The following is a 14,854-nucleotide window of genomic DNA, read 5'->3' on the forward strand; positions in this document are numbered from 1 at the left end:
AAGATTTAGAGCTCCTTTTAGCAGTTCTTGTAGTGGTGGCTTGGTAGTGGTGAATTCTCTCAGCATTTGTTTATCTCAAAAAGACTGTATCTTTCCTTCATATATGATGCTTAGTTTTTCTGGATACAAATTTCTTGGCTGATAATTGTTTTGCTTGAGAAGCCTTAAGATAGGGCCTCAATCCCTTCTAGCTTGTAGGGTTTCTGCTGAGATATCTGCTGCTAATCTGATAGGATTTCCTTTATAGGCTCCCTGGTCTTGCAGCTCTTAAGATTCTTTCCTTCATCTTAACTTTGGATAACCTGATGAAAATGTGTTTAGGCGATGATATTTTTGCAAAGAATTTCCTAGGTGCTCTTTGTGATTCTTGTATTTGGATGTCTATGTCTCTAGCAAAGCCAGAGAAGTTCTTCTCGATTATCCCCCCAGATATGTTTTCCAAACTTTTAGAATTCTCTTCTTCCTCACGAACACCGATTATTCTTAGGTTTGGTCGTTTAACATAATCTCAGACTTCTTGGATGCTTTGTTCATATTTTCTTATTCTTTTTCTTTTGTCTTTGTTGGATTGGGTTAGTTCGAAGACCTTGTCATTGAGCTCTGAATTTCTTTTTTCTACTTGTTCAATTCTATTGCTGGGACTTTCCAGAGCATTTTGCATTTCTATAAGTGTGTTCAACGTTTCCTGAATTTTATGTTATTTTTTCTTTAAGCTATTTATTTCCTTGAATATTTCTCCCTTCACTTCTTGTGGCGTTTTTTGGATTTCCTTGTGTTGGGCTTCACATATCTCTGGTGCCTCCCTGATTAACTTAATAACTAACCTCCTGAATTTTTTTTTTCAGGTAAATCAGGGATTTCTTCTTAGTTTGGAGCTATTGCTGGCGAAGTAGTGTGATTTTGGGGGGGTGTTGAAGAGCCCTGTTTTGTCATATTACCAGGGTTGGTTTTCTGGTTCCTTCTCATTTGGTTAGGCCCTGTCAGAGGGAAGGTCTGAGGCTGAAGGCTGTTGTTCGGATTCTTTTGTCCCACAGGGTGTTCCTGTTATAAAATAAAGTTTTGGTGCCACAAAAGAAATAGCACTTGAATATAAAATTTTATTTTTAATTATCAGCAAGGCAAGTTACTTCTATAGAAGGGTACATCCTTACAGATGGAGCAATGGTGAGTGCACACTTAGACAAGGGAGGGGAAGGGGTTCTTATCCCTAACACATGTGGCCCCTCCTGCTGTGTCATTCCCCTATTGGCTAGGGTTAGACCACACAGGCTAAATGAATTCTGATTGGCTAAATTTAAAGAGAGTAATGGGGTGAGTGGTTTGGCAGGAAAAATTGTTATGATAGAGCAGGTAATTGGAATGAGTCAGGGTAGAGCAGGCAATCAGAATGAGTCAGGGTGGAGCAGGTAATCAAAATGAGTCAGGCTGGAGCAGGTAATCGAAAAAGGTTGCTTTATAAGGGAGTTAAGTTTAAAAGTAGAAGGCAAAAAATTGAACATACTGACATATTGATCCTTTGAAAAGAAATTTAGAACTCATATCAACATTCCCTTGATGTAGTACTCTCCTCCTTTTCCTATGGATGTGGCTTTCTATGAGATGAACTGGAGTAATTGCTATTTCTCTTCTGGGTCTACCCACCCAGCAGGTCTACCCAGCTCTGAGCTGGTATTGGGGGTTGTCTGCACAGGGTCCTATGACGTGAACCATCTATGGGTCTCTCAGCTGTGGATGCCAGCACCTGTTCCAGTGGAGGTGGCAGGGGGGTGCAATAAACTCTATGAGAGATCTTAGCTTTGGTGGTTTAATACTCTATTTTTGTGCTGATTGGCCTCCTGCCAGGAGGTGGTGCTATCCAGAGAGCATCAGCTGTGGTAGTATGAAAAGGAACCACTGGTAGGTGGGGTCCTAGAACTTCGAAGATTATGTTCCCTACTCAGGGTAAGTAGGGAAGGACCATCAGGTTGAGGCAGGGCTAGGTGTGTCTGAGCTCACACTCTTCTTGGGCGGGTCTTACTAGGGCTGCTGTGGGGGATGTGGGTGAGGTTCCCAGGTCACTAGAGTTGTGTACCTCGGAGGATTATAGCTGCCTCTGCTGAGTCATGCAGGTTGTCAGGGAAGTGGGGGAAAGCTGACAGTCACAGGCCTCACCCAGCTCCCATGCAATCCAAAGGGCTGGTCTCACTCCCACCAAGCCCCCTCCTAACAGCCCTGAGCCTGTTTCCAGATGGTGGGTGAATGGGGCTTGAAAACCTGCTCCAGGCTAGCCACCTCCCAGCTGTGAAAGAAAAGGGCTTGGTTCTTCCCCAACCTGTGGAGTCTGCATACCAGATTTGCGCGCCTTCCCGCAAGTTCTGGCCAGGAGGTTTCTCATCCCTTTCAAATTGTCACACAGTTCAGCTAGAGAATTCCTTCTCCCTGTGGAGTTTTACCCCACCCCCGCCCCAGCCCTCTGCTCCTCGATAGATTCCTGTGGTGCCAGGCAGAAATGGCCTGCTTGGGAACCCAGCAAGCTCCTTCCTCTTTCTGCTCCTTCCTCTACCCCTGAATTCACTTGGCTTTCTAAATTGACTCAGCTCTTAGGTAAGGTAGGAAACTTCTCCCACAAACAAACCTTCAGTTTCTCCAATAAGGGTGTGTGTTCGGGAGAGGAGGCTCTCCCTTACCCACCTCTGTAGATAGTGCACTCACAGTATTTGAGATGTCTTCTAGGTCCTCCAGGAGCCATCCAATTCCTTCAGAGGGTTTGTGGGTCCTTTCGGGATTGCTGGTTTGTTCTTGCAGTCAATCTGGAGATAAAAATCACAATGAGAACCTCCGCATGATACTGCCCTGTCAGGAGCTGCAATCTAGTCCTGCCTCCGGTCTGCCATGATGATCTAATTCTCTCTCTCTCTCTCTCTCTCTTTTTTTTTTTTTTTAATGTGGATTCCTGGCTTCCACTCTCAAATGTGTGATTTAATTGATAGGGGGTATGGCCAGGGCGTGAGGATTTTTAAAAGCTTCTGAGGTGATATTACTAATCAGCCTATGTTTGCCATCACCAGTGTAGAATATATTAATTTCTCATCTTTGAGGAAGAATAAGAATATATATATTATTTTCTTATTTTGACAATCAGAGAATATAGATTCAACAATGTTTTGAAAACAAAGAAAACTCTTGATAAGTTCAAAAATCCCTGTGAAAATATAAAAAAGCATGCTTTTTATTAAAAATTATAGAAAAATATGAAGAGTACAAATATTTAACTAAAGTAAAATAAAACGTGTTAAAACCAAAATATATTTCTTTAAAATGTTATTGGTAAATGACAAAGATTCTCATAATAAATGATAAAAACAATAATGCATCAAAGAAATACCTAGCACATCTTTTTCTTTTGCAAATAGGGGAAAAGAGAAAAAAAAGCATTGATTTTTAACAATTTAGAAAATTTGGTAAAAATCAGAGTATTATTTATAATAAATGAAAGTTACAAAATGAAATATTGCTCCCTAAATAACAAAGAAAAAAGAAACAGAGTCTTGAATACATCTTGATTTTGTCCAAAGAAGTAGACAAAAAATAAGTGATAATAAAAAATTTGAATATTCAGGCTAGTAAGTTTAAATTAATAGATAATACATTAAACTTTATATGTAAATGACTTCAACTGACCTTTATAAACCTCAAGTCAGATATACTGAAGTCATATTTTAAACCTTCCTTATACCCTACACCCTATCAACCACCAAGCAAAATGACTTCTACAACCCAGACATCTTTCAAATGTACCTGCTTCTTTCCACTTCAAAGTTATGAGCCACTAACTGCCACCACTGTAGTCAGCTCTTGCACGAACTACTTATTGCTTATGCATTCTCTCTGGTCCCTCTGCATTTTGATTTGCTCCTTGCCAAATTATTCAACATACTGAAGCCAAAATGATGTTTGAAATGAGCAACTCCTATGCTAGCATCTCACTGCCATTTTCCCATGATGCAGTTACTGACACAAACATACATATATGACATTTTTGTGTGTATGTTTTTCTTCGAGTGAAAAAAACAAGAGCTAGATTGATTTTCACTATATTTTAAAAATAAGTGTTCTGATACTCTGACTTGAAAAAATAGGCTTCATGAGATATACAGAACTCATTGTTAGGAAGCCCCTGAGGGCTTAAAATATAAACAGTCATTCTCCACGGCAGCTTGGAGCATTGATTTGCTATTGAACTAATGCTACATATTGACTTGTGAATACACAACTCTAGGGTGTGAAGCAGCAGGTTTATGGCTCTGCTCAGCAATTCCACTTACATTGTATGTCTGTGAATATAAGTTAAAATATTTGAATGGATCAAAATCTACCAAATATAGCAGGTAAACCAATGTTTGAATTTTAGAGTATATTCATATCATAATATGTACACACAGTGAGTGCATTAAATGTTACAGAAACCATCCTGTGGGAAACAAGAGAGATTTATTCTTGCCCTCATGGGATGTGCAATCTAGGATGACAGGTTAATTATAAACAAATAATTCTATATACAACTTCTTAAATTACAACAGTTAAGAAAGGCCCTCTTTTATTGAAATCCTGATTCTCAGCGGTACTCTGCTAATGTAATTGCTGCATAAGAAATCATGGCATGGTCATTATTGTATTTGTTGTTGATGCTTAGGTGGTACCAAGGATTCTGGGCTTTCAAAAAAGAATGTTATAATTAGCTCTTTCTTAGCCTTATTATACCTTGTATCTCTGCATTTGACCCACAGTGATACGTCACATGGTACCATCAGAACAAAAAATGCTTAAGAGTTACATTCTGAAGAAAGCGAACTTTGTTCCAGCACTTTCCAAAGGAAATTATCTAAAATTTTAGAACTAGAAGAGACATTCCAATTCTAATTATCTTTTCCTCCCCTTTCATGAAGTAAATGAAGCCAAAATAAGTGAAATGGCTTGCCAAAGCTCACTGAGCTATTATGTAGCAGTGTCTCTTGATTCTACCACAATAAAATGAAAATCAGGTGCGTTTACTTTTAGAGAGCAAGAGTGTGAAAATCAGATAACTACTTCTGAGAATCTCTAAATTAATCTTAACTCTTTAGTCTGTTCACTCCATAAATAAATATTTCCTGAGCAACTACCAAGGAAAATTCTATGAAGGCTACGAGTTGAATAAGACTTGCTCTATGCCTTTCAGGAGATTAAAATGTAGTTCAAAAGATAAATCAAGCAAATAAATTGTTTTAATAAACTTGTAATTGAGTAATTAACACACAGCTTGTCACCACTGTAAACTTGGGCTCTTTTTTATTTAGTATCGTTATCAGTTAAATGAGATAAAATATGTAAAAGCACCTAAAATCGTAGATAATTATCAAATGTTTTTTAAAGTTGTTAACTTCTACAAAACCATTAAAAAATAAAACAAAAAACAGTCTTGGTAAAAGATCAAAGAAGTAGGTACCTATTCATTTTAAGTAAAATGCAGAGTTGAACTTTTTCTCTGGATAGTTAAGCAGAATGATACAGAAATCTATGTGATCTGGTCCATTTCAGCCTTTGAGGCAGCAGTTTCCCCTCCCATTGAAGTCTCAAAGCCCCAACCTTCATTGTTTATGATTCAGCTGATGGACAGGGCCTGAGCTCCCACAGTAATGCACTGATTGCTATTTGCTTCTGGAAATAAATGTGGCTTAACTGAGCTTTATTTATTGATTAGTTGGAATGGACCCAGACTGCCAATGAAGTCTATAGGAGGAAACAAAGTATGTCTGCTTTGAGAAAGATGTTAAAAATGCCCCTCTAGCTGTGTTGGTGCTGAAACACATCTTCCAATGCCAGGGATGTTTTGGGATGTCTCCCTTTTTTTTCTATTTAAGCAAGACTATAGGGTTGTGACAAGAAGAGGGCAAATAATACTTGATACCAAACAAATAAATGCATTCAGCAAACTCTGTCTCACAACTTTGGAGGCAGGGGGAATAATGCCGCAGATGGCAAATTGCCTGACAGGTATAGAAGCTGACAAGGGATCCAACCTTCAATGATTATACAGAATTATTTTCTCTTTAACGCAAAATTCCCAACCCAGAACTTCACTTTATATTATTATTTGCTGTAAGGCTACTGTCAGCTTCAGGGCAGAACTGTTTCTGAGACTGCAGTGAGCCGCTTAGCCACAGCAGCTGCTTTCAAAACTGGAAGATAACATAAAAGTGAGGAATAACTCCATGTGATTAGGGGAAGAGCTGTGGGTTAGTTTAAGAGAAAGAACAATCTATGTCAGGAAACCTTACATCTATCTCTCTATTTTAAATGTTCCTAAGTGGACAGTAGACAAAACAATAACAGCAGCATTAATAACCATCATATATTGAATTTCTTAAGTGTGAAAAGCTTTATATCAATTATTTCTGATTCTCACACAACTCTGTGAGATAGGATTTTTCCCATTTTGTACATGAGAAAACTGGAGCTCAAAGAAGTTAAATGACTTGCCTCCAGCTATGACGTGGTAGATCCCATATGTAAACATAGCCTGTCTCATTCCGAAGCTAATGATCCTTTCAAACATCATATTTTTCACAAACATTACTCCTTTCAATGCACACCAAACTTAGGGTAGTTACTACCTCTCAGTGGAAAAGGAAGAGTATAAAGTTTCAGCTACAATAAGTATAGAGTTTTATTTCTTAAAGGTAATAATATAAAGCAAATATGGCACAATGTTAACATTGAAATTGATTTTTGTTAATTTTTTCCATAGTTTTATGTGGGTTTGAAGTATTTCATTTAAAAAATTGCTCCCACTAATAAATTATAAAGTTGAACTTCTTAGCTAATGAAATTTTGCCAGGAATCCAAAACATTACTCATAAAATCAAAATAGGATGGCTTCAATAAGAAATTAAACCCCCTCTTTCCTCTTCCTACCAATAGAGATTAATGACTGTCATGAATACAGTCAGTTCCCTTTACAGAGAATAAAGACTTTTTTTGATAATAATTACTACACGTTAGAAAGTTCTTACTTTGAACAATAGTGAGAGATCATAAAGAACACCTGAAAGCTGAAACCATGTGAATGGATCTTAACAATCAATGAGAAAAGTTATCATTTAAATATGTTGTTCCTCAACCTTTTAAAGTTTTGCAAAACATTTAAAACTCTCTTACTGTTGATTACAAATATATAAAGATTTTTAACCTAAAAATATATTTAGCACGTTCTAGTTTAAGCTATTAAAACATTGAGAATTAATATATTTATTTCTTTGTGAAAATCTGATCAAATTTATTTGAACAGTGCTTGCCTTCTTCTTAGAGAATAACTTAACAATATGGGATAAACATCTTTTCTACACCTTGGTGAACTGTCATACTTTTTTCTAAGTTTGTATCAGCCTCCAACATGTGATCTTTCACATTTTCAATGTAAAAAAAAAATCTCCTAGAATTCCCTTAATGTGACGTTTTTGTCAGTGTCACGTTCTGAGAAATCTTCACCCTTATTGTAACTATCATATTCATCATTTTTGTTGATAAATTCATCTTTACTCAGTTCCTCTTGAAGCATATGTAAACTTTCTGAATAGCAGCAGTATAAATATCACCAGTCAGCTACTTATTCTATAACTTCATTTATATTCCATTTGAATTTCACTTCCAGCATTATGACTTTTTATTTCTTTGCTGCACTTTCATCTTTGTTGACCAATTTCCTCTTTCAATTGTGTATTTTTGTAAAATTTCATGTGGGTTTGCCACTGAGAGTCAAGGAGGCAGTACAACTGTATGCTTTGCTGTCTGTGTGTGAACTGCATAACCAATGTGTTGTGACCAGTTACTGGCTGACCCAGAAAAAGGGTGATGTGATTGGTCACTGGGTATGTGTACAACTGGTATATAGATAGTGACCTGTAAACTGGACACCTGGCAATTATTCAGTTACTCACATTTATAATAATACACTGTTCTAATTGAAATTTGAGCCATGTTATTGGGGGCACTGATTATTTAGCTAATTCTGTACCTATAATTTATGCATTCTGGAAGCATGCAAAGGGAGGCCTGCCCATATTCTTACTGGAAAATAATATTTCTTATGAAACACAGTAGTGGTATATAGGACATGGGTATAGTCTGAGCATTCCACTCTAAGCAGAAGAATTTTATCATTGACATTGCACAGAATTTCCAACAGGTGGTGATAATAAAAAGCAGATTAACTAAGTTGCTTTGAATATTTAACACAATATATTCATTTTTTGCTAGTACTAAGTGTGGGTCACTCCCACTGCCCTCTACCTTGGCATGCTACTGAAACATGGTAACCCAAAATGTCACAACAGTTGAAGCCAAGGCTGGAGACCATTCATGTCAGGGTTATTATTTTTCTGTGCATCAATTTCTACATCTATATAAAGAAGAAATTAATACTTTCTCATCTTATGAGCTTACTGGTGGGGATAAAATACAATTATATATATATAAACATTTGCTTTAGTATATTAAATGAAGTACAGAAATGTGTGGTGAGAAGGCCTAGATTCAAGACCCAATCTGCAGCTTATTTACAGGGCAACTTTGGAGAATGCAGTCAGCTTTATGAGTTCCAACTTTCAGTTTTGAAAAAATAAATGTAGAATTAGTATCTAACTCACAAGATCACTTTTACACCAAATGAGTGCTTTGTTAAAAGCAAAACACCAAAGAAAAGTTCATTGCTCTTATGGTGTAATTGTTATAATAAGACATCTTCCATTCACTCTTACTGTGCAATACTTTCTTTTCAATACTCTCTAGTGGAACGCTAATACTAGATGAAGATTATCTGGGACCACTGTACTGAAGTATGGTCCCCAGACCAGCAGCATCAGGAACACCTGGAAACTAGTTATAAATGCAAACAATTGGGTTCTGCACGTCTAAATTTCTACCAAATCTGAAACTCTGGAGATTGAGCCCAGAAATTTGCATTTTATCTAGCCCTCCTGATGATTCCTTCACATGCTGAAATTTGAGAACCACTGCTTTGGGACAGCTTTGGTTCTAAGACTTGTCTGCATATTGGTATCAACTAGAATGCTTTAAACAACATTGAGTAATACAGCCATATTTTTGGAACCAAAATATGGAACCAAAGCAGAAGGCAAAACTTAAGTACATAAAATGACAAGATAACAAACGCTAAATCTCAATTTGCCTAATTGCATAATTATGAACATATCAGGGTACAGACATGGTGAAAACTTCTTTAGCTTCTTCAGAGAAGTCGAGATTCAGGATATCCTAGAAGACAGGACAAATTATTTAAGTAAAAAGAAATAGATTTATATGGGTAAAAAGATCATTGACACAATAGCGCTATGAAATCACTCTTGAAAGAAAGTTGCAAGGATGTGAAATGTATAAAGATAAGCCTACTAGCCCAAAGGAATACAATAGTTGATTGAATTTATTCTGTATTGGTGAAGAGGGATTCTCTCTTTCTTTCTTTTTTTTTTTTTTTTTTTATACAAAGATGCTTATAAAGCAACAATCTAGAAAACGTAGTATTTTTCTCCAACAGATGTTGAACATTTTGGTATTATTCCAGGTATGTGAAGATGGTTTAATATTTTAAAATCAATTAATGTTATTCACCATATTAACAAGAGAAATAAAAAATACATGAACATTTCACATTTTTTCAGAAAATGCATTTGAAAAAATTGAAAACTTAATCATAATATAAAAACTTTCAGAATACTAGAAATACAGGGGAAATTCTTCTAAGACATAAGAAGCATCCTCAAAAATCCTACAACTAAAATCATATATAATTGTGAAAGTCTGAATATTTCCTCCCCAAGATCAAGAAAAATGCAAAGATGTCTACTCTCACTAGTGCTATTTAACATACTAATAGAAGTTCTGATGAGCGTCATAATGCATGAAAAAGAAATAAAAGGCTTAGAGATCAGAAAGAAAGAAATAAAACATTCCCTATCTGCAGTTGATGTATCTATGTAGAAAATCCCAAGCAATCTACAAAAAAGATCACAAAATGTTACAATAAATTCTAGCCAGGGTTTTAAGACAAATAAAGATAAATGAAATGTATAATACTTGAAAATAAAGAGGTAAATATGATCCCTATGTGCACAAAATACAATTTCTATAAAAATGTCAGGATAAGACAATAAAATTTAGTGCATTCAGCAGTTTTTCTGGTACAAGTTCAACCTTCAAATAATGATAGCATTTTTATAATTCAGCAATAGGTAATTAGAAAATGTTATAATAATAAAATTTTCGTATTTACCAGTTGTAAGTCTAATAAAAGATATAAAGGCATTATTCAAGAACAGAAAAATACCTGACAAAATGAAGATACAGATTATGTTTGTGGAAAAAATAATTTAGTGTCACAAAGACAAAATTATTTCTAAACTAACCTATAAAATTAATGCAATTATAATCAACATTTTAATGTTTTCCATTTTTTTGTTATAGACCCCACCATAAACTTATTTAGAAATTGGGGAGATATATATATGTAATTATATATTACATATATTATATATATTATATATGTCATATTTATAATATATAATATATATTACATAAATTTATATGTAATATATATTATATTACATATATTATATATTACATATATTATATATAATATACATATATATTATATATAATATATGTAATATATATCATATATTATATGTACATATATGTACATATAATATATTATATATTATATATTATATATGTAATATATTATGCTATATTTAATATATGTAATATATAACATATATTATGTTATGTATTATATATGTATGTAATATATATGTTATATATGTAATATATATAATATATGTAATATACATATATAATTATATATATTATATATTATGGATATTATATATATTATATAATATTATATATAATATACAATATATATATTATATATATAATTTGGAAGAAGAACAAGATAGTAGGATTTACCTTACTAAATCAGAATAATGACTCAGAAAGAGAGATATATTTATATATAAATGTGATTTAGGATAGTAGCATTAAGAATTAGTAGGAAATCCTAGGTTACTCAGCCAATGGTATTGGTTAGCACTGTGTAAAATATTAGCCATACACTGAAAATAATGTATGTCAGATGGGCTTAAATATTTAATATTTAAATTTTAATACTTTAAATTTTAACAAGTAAATATAAGACAACATTTTTATGACCTCAAGACGGAAAAATATGTCTTAAAGAATTTATGAAAAGCATGTTATATAAAAGAAATAATGATAAATATGAGTGCATTTAACTTTCTGTGTGCAAAAAAACAATTTAAAAGTTTTCAAAATCAAGTCATAAAACATATTTGGAAAGAAAATTACAAAGGAAGAGTAAGCATCAATAATTATTTTAAAATACTGGTAGTACTAATTATGAAAAGGTATATAATTTAGTGAAATATTGGCGAGGACTATAAAAATGCAATTTATATAAAAGGAAACAAGAATAGCCAAGAAATGGATTAAAATATTTTAATTTCACTCTAACCAGAAAATGCAAATTAAGCAAAGTGAGATTTTCGAAAGAAATACATGACAGATTGACAAAATTTAAATATTGGAACATTCAATTAATGGAGATATGAAAAAGTAAGAAATCATATAACACCCTGTTGGGATAATAATAAAATCTCTTTGGAAGCAATTGGTGAGTAAAAGATAAAATAGAAGAATATGTGTTCTTAGAGTAGCCTCTCTACCTGTAGAAGTGTGAAGAAGTTCTAACACATCTTCGTGGAAATATAAACAGAACTGTTCATATAATTGATAATAAAAAATAGAAAAAACTCGAATGCTCATTAGAAAGAAAATGAATAAATGATGTCATATTCATACCTGCAATAAAATGGAGTTATCTGTATCTGTACAGATAATTTCCATCAACATTATTTAAAATGAAAGTCTAATATCAGTTTTATAAATTATATAAACATTCATTCAAAAGAAATTATCAACATGCAATGTAAAATGTCATATTGTATATTTTTATATGTAAATACGTAGAAGTTATATGTTGCCATAAGCATTGCCTCTCCCTCTCTGTGATGAACAAAATGAATATAAGGTACTAAATTTCTCAGAGAAAAACAGGAATAATATCAAGGTGAGTATCTTGCGTGTTTCACTTTGATCTGTAGTATTTCGCTTCTTAAGAAATTAATCTGAAGTAAACCTTATAAATGTTAATATTTTAAAAATTGAATAGGATAAGTGTGATTATTTGGCTTATTACTCTCTATTCTGTGTTTTATATATTTCATAATAAAATATATTAAAAGAGAAAAAATGATAATTTAAATCTCTACCATGAACATGTTTCTTTAAAATATGTTTTCAACATGTATACCATATCCTTTCTTCCTCCTGCAAAAGTTCACCATGATTAGGAAGTGTGAGACTGAAAAGAAAAATTTCCTTTTTTTTCTAGAGGCAATTAAATTTAACACCTGGCCGCCTGTTAATCAAAGCATTGAGATCACTTATTCTCTTGACAGATCTTTCTTCTTCTTCAGGTTTCCCATTTCACACAGCAGAGAATCAGCTTTGCTGAAATTCACAACTAATTTCCAGAGTATAAAAGAACTACTTTGTCCAAAATGCCATATAACCACATTTTCTAATGCACCACAAAAAACAAAAAAACACTACTTTTTCACTACAGCTTCGCTGCAAAAATACATATAAACCCAATATATGAAAAGTGTGATAAGCAAATTACCTTTCTTAAACAAACTAAACACATATTTCAGCTCTAGGATTTAATTTTTAATACTGCACCTATCCCACACAACCCATAAAGTTTTTACAATAAATTTTGGATTCTAAATTCATAAAAGCAGGCTAGAGGTATTAGTGGGATCTCTGGGTTTTTACTCCCTTCTATTCTTTTATCCTTTCTGTCACAAAGTCTAAAAGTAAGGACTTTCTTCAGTATGGGTTATATCAACTTTACCAGTCTCAAGCTAGAAGAAACCTCAGAGAATTTGATGATGAAGACATCATTGTGAAGATGAGCTAAATCCTAGAGAAAGCAAATGGTTTGCTCTAGGACATACTTCCAGAGCAGACAAGAGCCAGGGCTATAATCCAAATAAATCTCCTGGTCCAAGAACTGCTCGTGACATGACAGTTCGTACGGTCGGGGTCTTTCAATACTCACAGCTATCACCATAAACCAAAATAAGTGATCTTATCTCATTTTTAAACTTCTAGATGGTCTGCCTAACTTCAGGCTCTGCTTCAATATTATTTTCGTGTTATTTTATTATGTTTTTATTATAGAATAGGCTCCTCTGTTAAACTCTCACGGTCCTCTGTAATCTTGCCCTAACTTTATTTCCTTCTTTTCCGTATTCTCCTTCATTTTATATTAAATATCCTCTTTAGAAAGGATTAAATCATGTGTGACTTTCAATTATATTGACTGTATTTTCTCTTAAATTCATAAAGTCCTACCCATTATTCTAGACACATATTAATTCCTATCCAATCTATAAAATTTTCTCAGACTACATTCAACCATAATTTTACTATCACTTGATTACCATACTTACATTCTATTTTGCAAAATTAACTATTTAATTGTTTACTGATTATCTCAAATGTATTGTTGGTTTCATCACCAATTATTTTCCAAACTCCCTTAAACCTAGTAATATATCATATGTTTGCTTTGTAATCTCCACAGTCTAACACAATGGTAATTGATGATCCATAACAAGTGCTCAGAAACTACTTGTAATTGACTAAACTTAATTTATAAATTCAAATTACAGATGATGACTAGTACATGAAGTAGACAGTATATTGCTAAATGATTTGGATTGGCTGCCTGCAATGTACCAGATCATGAGGGTCAATTGTTTGCCCCACATAGCTCCCAGAAAGGGCAGCACACATGACCACACATTTTCACTGAACAGGGCTGGAATATACAATCCATGGACACTGTAGATTTTTCCACTTGGGAAGTTTAAATGGAAGACAAAGGTATTAACCCCATAGTGGAATGATTCTTTATTGATAAAAATCCATGCAGTTTTGAGACCAGAGTTTACGTTAAGACAAATCATAACCATATTCAATATATAGTTTTAGGAAAGATGATACAAAGAGTGAGCAGAGAAGCTGGTTTCCAAAAAGGAGAACGCAATAAACAAGGTGATCAAAAAGGGAGGCACGGAGGGAGGGAGGGAGAGAGGGAGGAAGGGAGGGAGGGAGGAAGGAAGGAAGGAAGGAAGGAAGGAAGGAAGGAAGGAAGGAAGGAAGGAAGGAAGGAAGGGAGACCACGGTATGTGTGGGGGGGTGTGTGAACGTGTGCATGCATATGTGTAAGAGAAAGATAGATAACCTGAGAAAGATGAGTTCCTGACAATCTATTTCCAATCTCATAAGACCCAGTTACACATTGTTACTTGTTCTTCATGTTAATGAGATTGCTTGTCAATTTCACGTAATAATTAAAATTTCCCTCCACCCACATTTCAGCAAATTTTATTGGGTTTATTTTCCTTGTAATTCATATTCTAATTTATCTTTATTTCTGTGAATTGAAAACTAAATTTGAAGTCTTATTTTCTTAGCTAAAATCTGATATTTAGCTGGATCTTCAGTCAATGACCCTCAATATTTTATGATTCTACATTTGTTTGCAGCTAATCCTTTACTCCATCCATCTCTTTACTATACCTTACCTCTGTGTAGTTAATAAAGAAGAAAATAAACAGAAATCGAAGAAAAAAATGTTATGCTACTTGATATCCGTTTGCGTTTCTGA

The 14,854-nt window shown here is 33.8% G+C and overlaps 1 annotated feature.

Annotated features, from left to right (window-relative positions):
• Positions 813-2,012: an enhancer, noted in NCBI's record as "MED14-independent group 3 enhancer chr11:91221826-91223025 (GRCh37/hg19 assembly coordinates)". NCBI's record gives its function as "activates an origin of replication core promoter dependent on BRD2, BRD4, P300/CBP and CDK7 cofactors, and independent of MED14, by STARR-seq in HCT116 cells {active_cell/tissue: HCT116}" and the evidence as "EXISTENCE:reporter gene assay evidence [ECO:0000049][PMID:35650434]".

The sequence above is a fragment of the Homo sapiens genome, chromosome 11 (assembly GCF_000001405.40).
Source record: "Homo sapiens chromosome 11, GRCh38.p14 Primary Assembly".
NCBI classification, from domain to species: Eukaryota; Metazoa; Chordata; class Mammalia; order Primates; family Hominidae; genus Homo; species Homo sapiens.